Source organism: Homo sapiens, chromosome 1 (genome assembly GCF_000001405.40).
Source record: "Homo sapiens chromosome 1, GRCh38.p14 Primary Assembly".
Classification (NCBI taxonomy): domain Eukaryota; kingdom Metazoa; phylum Chordata; class Mammalia; order Primates; family Hominidae; genus Homo; species Homo sapiens.
The window spans coordinates 39,640,439-39,649,923 of NC_000001.11; the positions used below are offsets into that span (position 1 = coordinate 39,640,439).

Consider the following 9,485-nt stretch of genomic DNA (forward strand, 5'->3'; position numbering starts at 1 on the left):
GAAGATACCTTCCAGCCTCTCTTCCTGGGGCCTCTGCTTCTGGCAACCCATCAAACTGTTCACTCAGGGAGGGCTCTAGCTGCCCTGTCCTTAGGGGGACTTGTGGGAAGTTCTCAGATTCACCGGTCATCCTCAGGCGCCCAGTACCTCAGAGAAGCTCCTAAGGCTCCAAAGGAAGCTGCATGAGAGCATCCTGGAGCTGGACTTCTTGGGCAGGGAAGAGGAGATAGAGGAGGTCTTGGTGTGCTGGGTTAGATATGAGAGGTCTTTTCCTTTTTACCCGCCACCAGGTCAGGACCTGAGGGAAGCCACCCCTTCAAGTGGGAGAATCGGGTTGGTCATCTGAGAATAACTGTGCTTCCATCCCCACAGCAAGGCCTGCTTGCTGGGGGACACTTGATTACTTGATGGGAAAGAATGTTCCTGTGCCCCCGTCCACACACATCCACAGACACAACCATTTGGCCAGGTATGCAAACACATACACACGGACAGACTTACAAATATATACTGGTAGGCGCAACTGTCGTGAGCAATCAGTACCAGGAAGCCCTGGTGGTCGCCCCAGCCACAACTATGGACTCTCATTCCAAATGCCCTCAGCACTCACATCACTTCTGTGGGCACATGCCAGTCAGTGGAAACCTCAACTAACAGAGAAGTTGCACAATGTGTTATGCATTCCCTGGAAAGGCGGAAGTCAAGGAAGCCTCCCAGATAGCTGCCCTGTGTAATTGGCTGAGATAGCAAAGATTGGAAGAGGAGCAGATTTGCAGGGGAAGGTCAAGGGCCCCGTGATGGACGTTTCATGTGAGATGTCTTGGATCATCAAAATACAGTGCACAGTTAAATAGAGGGTATGGAGTTCAGAACAGAGGTCTCAGCTGGATATTAAATTTGGACGTCATTAGGTAATTGATGGCATTTAAAGCTATGGGAGCAGATGGGATCATTCAGAAAACGTGGATGGAGACAGAGCAGGGGCCTAGCTAAATACTTAACATTTGGTGAGCCCTTATTATAAAACCTGAAACTATTCTAAGTCTTTTGTAAATATTAACTCATTTAATCCTTGACAACCCTATAAAGTAGTAATATTATAATCCCCACTTTACAAGTGAGAAACAAAGGCTGAGAGGTAGACTAACTCCACCTAAGGCCAACAGGCAATAAATGGAAGGGCTGGAATTCAACAAGGCAGTTCAGTTCCAGAGCCAAAACATTAGGCTTTATTACTTTATACAGTACTCCCCCTTCTTTTAAAAATAAAGACAAGGATTCACTCTGTCACCAGGCTAGAGTGTAGTGGTGCCATCGTAGCTCACTGAAACCTTGAACTCCTTGGCTCAAGTGATCCTCCCACCTCAGCCTCCTGAATAGCTCAGACTACAGGGGCATACCACCATGCTCAGCTAATTAAAAAAACAACATTTTGCCAGGTGTGGTGGCTCACGCCTGTAATCTCAGCACTTTGGGAGGCTGAGGCAGGCGGATCACAAGGTCAGGAGATCGAGACCATCCTGCCTAACACGGTGAAACCCCATCTCTACTAAAAAATACAAAAAATTAGCCAGGCGTGGTGGCAGGCACCTGTAGTCCCACCTACTCGGGAGGCTGAGTCAGGAGAATGGCGTGAACCCGGGAGGCGGAGCTTGCAGTGAGCCAAGATGGCGCCACTGCACTCCAGCCTGGGCGACAGAGTAAGACTCCGTCTCAAAAAAAAAAAAAAAAAAAAAAAAATTTTTTTTGGTAGAGATGAGATCTCACTATGTTGCCCGGGCTGGTCTTCAACTCCTGGGGCCAAGCAATCTTCCCACCTTGGCCTCCCAAAGTGTTAAGATTACAGGAGTAAGCCACTACACCCCGTCAATTATACAGCTCTTAAACATTGTGATATATTATCCAGTACTGAGCCTAGAGCTATGCCATCAATATAATAGCCACGAACCCCCTATGGCTATTAAGTACTTGAAATGTGGCTGGTCTGAATTGCTGTATGTGCAGTGAGTATGAAATACACACCAGAATTTTTTTAAGTGTGAACTATCTCATTGATATTTTTTGTTATGATTACATGTTGCAATGATAATATTGTATAAATATTGGATGAAATAAAATACATTAGTAAAGTTAACTTCCCTTGTTTTATTTTTAGGTTTTTAAAAATGTGACTACTAGAAAATGTTAAACTGCATATTTGGCTCCCATGATATTCCTATTGGATGGTGCTAATCTGGTGCAGGGTTTCTTAACCTCAGGACTACTGGCATTTTGGGTCAGGTCATTCTTTATTGTGTAGGGCTGTTCTGTGGATTGTAGAATGGTAAGCAGCCTCCCTGGCCTCTATCCACTGGATGCCAGTTATACCCGCTCCAGTTGTGACCATCAGAAATATCTCCAGATAAAATACCAAATGTCCCTTGGGGGAGAAATCGCCCCCAGTTGGGAACCGCTAGTCTGGAGAAACTCCAAGATTTAAAGGTTGTAGAAGAGAAAGAGCTGCCAGAGAAGACTGAAAGGGCAGTGGAGGAGAGTGGGGTGTGTGTGGGGGGGTGTGGGCAGGAGCCAAAAGAGTGTTTCAAGGACTTGGTCATGATCCTTTTAAAATGCCAGTCAGATCATGTCACTTCCTGCTCAAAACCATCCACACGCTTCACATCCCATTTGAAATAAAATGCCAACTGCTTACCATGCCCTATACACAGAACAACTGTAATAACCTGGGCACCTTTGAGAGTGAAAGGAGGCAATACTAATAATCATGCCAGGGCAGTTCAGGGCACACTGGAGGTACCATCTCCTAAGCTCAGGCCCCTGCCCATCTCTCCAGCTTCATCCCCAACCACTTTCTGCCTTGTCCACTCACCCACGACAGCCTTCTTGCCATTTGTATTGGGCCATTCTCACATTGCAGGGGCCAGAGCTTAGGATGACAAACATATAGCAACACATATAATGTAATGTCAGTGATATTAATAGATGCTGTGAAATAAGATAAAGTGAGGTGGAGACATAGGGTGACTGGGGGATTGGTGGCTATTTTACTTAGGGGTCAGGAGATCGTCTCTGAGGATGAATCACTTATGCAGAGACCCGAATGGAGAGAGGGAATCTAAGAAGATCTGGGGAAGAGGATTCCAGGCAGAAGGAACAGCAAGTGGAAAGCCCTGAGGTAGGAACAAGCATGGAATATCAATAGAATGGTGATATGGTTTGGATCTGTGTCCCCATCCAAATCTCATGTTGAATTGTAATCCCCAATGTTGGTGGTGGAGCCTGGTGGGAGGTGAGGGAGGTGGATTTTTCATGAATGGTTTAGTCCCATCCCCTTGGTACTGTTCTCATGATAGTGAGTTTTCATGGATCTGGTGGTTTAAAGGTGTGTGGCACCTCCCCTGCTTCCTCTCTTGTTCCTGTTTTTGCCATGTGACGTGCCTGTTCCCCTTTTGCCTTCCACCATGACTGGAAGCTCCCTGAGGCCTCCCCAGAAGCAGATGCTACTGTGCTTCCTGTACAGCCTGCAGAACCGTGAGCCAATTAAACCTCTTTTCTTCATAAGTTACCCTGAAATACAGGGAGGTTAAATAACTTACCCAAGATCACACAGCTACTAAGTGGTAGAAATAGGATTTTAACCAAGCAGTCTGGCGCCAGAATTCATGCTGGTAACCACTGCAACCTGCATTAGAGCTGGGTGGACCAATCAGGAGACTCTTAAAATAGGCCAGGCAATAAGGACTGGATTCGAGTGATACTGGGTTCCTGTCTGGGTGACTGAATGGATGAAGGTGACAAGCACCAAGGGGAAACACTGGAGAAGGGAAGGAGCTCACTATGGCCATGCTGTTTGTGAGACCTAGCGCACACCCAGGAGGAGAACCCAGGGAGAGGTCTGGGCTGGAGGAGAGATTTGGTGGCTGAAGACATGGGATACATGACATATCTGTCCCAAGGAGCTAGTGCAGATCCAGAAGGGAGGAGAACCTAGGCTAGGACCCTGGGAAACAATAGCCAAAGATTCTCTGGGAAGAAGGAGGAGAATCCTGCGAGAATGGAGCACCAGGGACCAAGGCAACCAGGAGCCGAGAAAAGGGGCTTGGTCACCAGTCCAGGGGCTCTAAGAGGAAAGAAGTGTGATCAGGAGGTCACAGATGCCTTGGGATGAATGAACAGAGGCAAGGGAGGCAGAGACAAGGGCAGGATGTCATGGACTGGGAAGTGTCTGGGGTAGAGGGTTGCGGAAGCAGGTTTAAAAAGGGGGCACGTCAGCCAGGCACAGTGGCTCATGCCTGTAATAGCAGCTACTCAGGAGGTTGAGGTGGGAGGATCACCTGAGCCCAGGAGGTCATGGCTACAGTGAGCCTTGATTGCACCAATGCACTCCAACCTGGGCAACAGAGTGAGACCCCATCTCTAGAAAAAAAAAAACAAAAAAGAGGGGCAGGTCAATGAGAGAGGGCACGCCATGCAACTCCAGGGACCAGCAGAGCCTCAGGAAGAATTTGCTCACTGATGGAGAAGGAGTCAGAAGTAAGGAGAAGGGTGAGAGGCCCAGGAGTAGCAGGCAGCCTCAATCCAAAGGGAGGGAGGACGAGACGGGCCCTCTATTCTACCTTCCGCTCCTTTCTGTCTGTCCCAGAGCTGAGCGAGCTGGAGATTTTCAGCGACAGGTTTCAGTTGCAGCAATACTTTCTCTATCACTGAGCCCACACTAGGTCAATCCCGTCTGCTCTTGGGGCTGGTATTCAGATCACTAAACTGATATGGCCTGGGCTCTGAACGGTTGGCTTGCACATAGACTATACACTGGAACAGGATTCCAGAGACCACTGTGGCAGACACTGAGCCTCTAACTGCTGCATGGTGGAGGTATCTGGGGGGTCTCAGAGGAGAGGATGATTGGCACAGAGATGCCCAGGGTGGTGGTTGGTGGTTATTAATTGTGGAATAGTTTATGTCTGTCTGAGGCCTGGGCTGTTATCCCTGTAAAAGCAGGAACCATGTTGGGTTGTTCACTGTGATCTCCCTGATGCCTACCGGCGTCTGGCACAGGTAGGTGTTTGGTAAACATTGGCTGAGTGTCCAGTGATGGGGAGGGGAACTGAGGGGCTCCTGAAGGCCTCCACCTTGTCTGGGAAGGAGGTGCTTCCTTGTTCCTGGAAAAACAGCAGAGACATACAAGGACTTTCCTGGCCCATGGCCCAGGATGAAGTAGGGGGAAGAAGGGACCTGGAGCACCCAGGTGCCACTCAGTCTTCCCTCTGCAGGACTTTGTCCTGCCTTTGAGCCTAAGGACACTGAGACCCAGAGAGGGACAGAAGCATCCCCAGGGCCACACAGTGAGACAGAAAGTGAGCCAGGACAAGAGTAGCCTTTCCGTGCCTTGGTTTTCTCATCTGTAAAATGGGATGATACCAAAGCCACTCACTCCACAGGGTTGTTGTGAGGGTTAAATGAGGTAAGATGCAGAGAGTGATGCCTGGTGTTGAGAGTGGGTGCTCTAATGCTACATTTGGGTTTGGCCTCTGTCTCCATCCACTCTATCCCTAATTGGTTCACCTACTCCCTGGCTTTTCTTTCTATGAGCCAATGATTCCCAAATTTATATCTCAAATACAGACTTTTTTTCTCAGGTTCAGACCCATAGATCCAACTGCCCAGTCTTTTTCCTTACACTCATGTTGGTCCACCCACATGTCGAGACCTAGCCGGGGTGTGCTGGGCCTGTCCTGGACCTCTGCAGGCTCTCTGTGCCACATCCAGATGTCAGGCAGCCCCATCATCACTTTCCTGCTCCATGTTCCATCCTGAGAACAGTCTGAGCCTCCTTGCCTCCTCCTCCCCCCACCCCCTGCTCATCCCAGGCCCTTCCTGTCCTCCCCTTGCCCTCCTCCCCCGCTCCTCTGGGACCCATCTGCGCTCACTTTCCACCTCCACAGCTGCTGCCACAGCTGGTCACTGACGGAATGTGCAGCTGCTGGGAGCCACATGTGCAGAGCAGGCGGAGCACAAGCTACCCCTGGGGCTAGCGAGGGTGGGGGCTGGGACCATCTGTCTGTGTCTGTCTGTCTACAACACACACATGCATGTACACGCACAGACTTCCAAGCTCCTTCTCTAAGTAAGGTGATAAACATGTTGGTTTGGTTCCCCTTCCCTGTCCCTGGGCTGCAGAGTTCATGCTCTACTTATCTGGGCCCCTGAGAGCAAAGCAGCTGGGCTGGCCCTGCTGTCTTGAAGCTTATGCACTCCCACCCCTATGTTCAGGCAGTACAAATCCCGCAGGAGCCACACAGGGGCGGAATGGCAGACTGGGTGTTCAGAGCTTCCCTAGCTTTCCCAGGCCCTGGAGGGTGGCCCACCATGGAGGAAGCCAGAAGCTTCGGACACATTCCAGAGCCCCCTTGGCAGCACCCAGAGGCTCTGGAGGCGTGGCAGCCTGGGGGCAGGGCCAGCAGCATCTGTCCTGGTTCCCACACTCTGGCCTCTCTGGAATCTCACATATTTCTCTTCCGTGTGTGCGTGATATCAGCAGGACAAGGACACTGGGGGTGGTGGCAGGGGAGGGACTGAGCTCCTTGAAGTCAGATGGCCATGGGGGTGGGGGTGGGAGCTGGGGGAGGGCCTGGTTCCTGCCATTGGTCACACAGTACGAAGAGGACGCCCTGGCCTCTAGCTCCCAGGCCTGACTGGGTCCTGATACCGCCCAATGCATTCCCATCAGAGCCCCTTTCCATCTCTCTGGGCCTTAGTTTCCTCATCTGTAAAACAGGAATAAGACAAGCATCTACCTCTCAGGGTAAGAGTAAACGTTGTAGAACCCAGATCCTCCTTGGAGTCCTTTTTGCTCTGTGGACAGCTTACTCTCCCATCACTCCCCTGACCCCTACCCCAGTCCTGCCACTTTCCATGTTTTCTGGAACATCTAACACAGGTTCATGTGTATTAGATGGGCCTTTGTATTCTGTCTTGAAAGCCTTTCCCTTTCTCTGTCTGGAAAACTCATACTCATCCTACAAAGCCCAGCACAAAAATACCTCTCTGGGAGTCTTCCCTGCCTCCCCCTGGCAGCTAGTCCTTCCTCCTTGTACTCCTGTGGCTCCCTGTGAACACCTCCAGGGCAGCCCGACCTCCCTATTCTGCCACTGTTTGTGGCATCTCACGAAGCTGTGGCTGAATGGGAGCTGCCCTTCCTGGGGCTGATGGCCACCTCAGGAGCCCAGGCACAACACCCCACAGCTGGTGGGTGTCAGAGCACAGTCAGGACATGGTTCTAGGCCTGGCCCCCAACCTGATCCTTCCAGGCAGAGCTTCCCACCTATACCATTTAGTCTGGACATAACAGGCAGAGGAAGGAGCTTGGACCTCACCAGCTGCGACAGCATTTCTTAAACCAGAAGCAGCCATTGTTCTCCTTCCTCCATCCAGGCCAGCCAAGCCACAGTCCTGCTGTACAGATGGAGTAACTGCAGCTTAGGCAAGGGAAGCCAGTAGCAGGGACTGGATTAGAACCCAGGGCTCTCATCCCCAGTTCAAGACCCTAGGCTCCTTTCTGCCCCCAAACTCCCTCTTTGATGAAGGATATGGAGACTGGGAAGTGATCATGGGGTTGAGGCAGAGCCTGGGTGAGATGGGAACCCAGGGCTTGGGAAGCAGCTGTCCCTAACCTCTGGGTATAGCTGAAATTGGAATCCACCATGTCCTCTGATGTTGACAGGAAACCCACACTTCTATTTCACCACTTAGCAATGATGGAGAATTTTAACACCATCAGGCATAGCCCTAAGCTATCCTAGGGGTGGGGGAGAAGATGGATGAGCATGGGTCCTATGGCTCAGAAAAGGTGTGTCAGTTCAGGCCTTCTAGGAGACAGATGCTAAGGCCAATTGGAGATGCAGAACATTTACTAGATAAATTGCTTATAAGGGTAAAAGAGAGGGAGCAGGAGGAAGCAGAAAGAGCCTTTTGACCATGATGCAGGTCTGACATCTGTGAAGGAGAGTGAGAAGGGAGATGGCTTGGTTAGGAAGAGCCTTGGACTGCAATGCAGCTCTGAGAAAGTCCTCATTGGGCCCAGAGTAAAGATGGGGTCCCACGTAGGACAGAAATAGCCTGGTGTTAGCTTCCCCACCATGCCCAGTCACCACTGGGAGCAGGCTAGGAAAAGCATGCTATCTGCCCCATGAAAGCTGCAGCAGACCCAGAGGGGCAGCTGCTGCAGGCTGTTGGGTAATCATGCTCCTTGCAGCAGGTTCTCTCGAAGGAGATGTGAGTTATGCACTCTCCTGGCAGCCACAGAGGATACATGTTTTGCAAGGTCACCCAGCAAGCAAGTAACAAGTTCATATCCTTGGGCTGTGGCTGTATTATTCTCACACTGGGGTGAGCTTTATACCACTTGGAGCTTCATAGGGCTTCTAAGGGGAACTTTGCCAGAGGAAGGAAAGAATGAAGATTCATGGGTGGGTAGGTGCAGCAAACCACCATGGCACTCCTTTACCTATGTAACAAACCTAGGCCAGGCGCGGTGGCTCACGCCTGCAATCCCAACACTTTGGGAGACCGAGACGGTTGGATCACCTGAGGTCAGGAGTTCAAGATCAGCCTGACCAACATAGTGAAACCCTGTCTCTACTAAAAATACAAAATTAGCTGGGTGTGGTGGTGCATGCCTGTAATCCCAGCTACTTGGGAGGCTGAGGCAAGAGAATCACTTGAACCCAGGAGGCAGAGGTTGCAGCGAGCCGAGATTGCGACACTGCACTCCAGCCTGGGTGGCAGAGCGAGACTCCATCTCAAAAAAACAAAACAAAACAAAACAAAACAACAAAAAAAAACCCAAAAACCCTGCCTGTTCTGCACGTGTATCCCAGAACTTAAAATTAAATTAAATTAAATTAAATTTTAAAAAAAGAATGAAGATTCAAATTGCTATGGTCTGAATATACCTCTCCAAAATTAATATGCTGAAACCTTATCACCAATGTGATGATATTAGGAGGTCGGGCCTTTGGGAGATTATGAGATCTTGAGGGTGGAAGCATATGCCACCATGCCCAGCTAATTTTTGTATTTTTAGTAGAGACGGGGTTTCTACTAAACATGTTGGCCAGGATGGTCTCAATCTCCTGACCTCGTGATTCACCCGCCTCAGCCTCCCAAAGTGCTGGGATTACAGGTGTGAGCCACCGCGCCCGGCCAAAAATAATGTTTCTTTAAGTGACCTATTGGAAAATAAAACTGGCTACTAGTAAGCACAAGAAAAAAAAACAGAACACATAGGCCTTAGGTCATGGATGAGCTTTGCAAGTTGAAAAGGGAGTGCACACGGGAGGAGAAAGAATTATGTCTGTGATTTCTTTATCTGGTGGTTACTCCTTTTTTTTTTTTTGGTTCCAGCTCCAAGCCACAGTCACATCTGTATCACATCATGGGGTTTTTATTCCCAAATCCAGTCCAAGACCATGTCAGAAAGTAGAGGATTC

The 9,485-nt window shown here is 49.8% G+C and overlaps 1 annotated feature.

Annotated features, from left to right (window-relative positions):
- Window positions 5,981-6,030: a silencer, noted in NCBI's record as "silent region_708". NCBI's record gives its function as "represses an Ori minimal core promoter by ATAC-STARR-seq in GM12878 lymphoblastoid cells {active_cell/tissue: GM12878}" and the evidence as "EXISTENCE:reporter gene assay evidence [ECO:0000049][PMID:35858748]".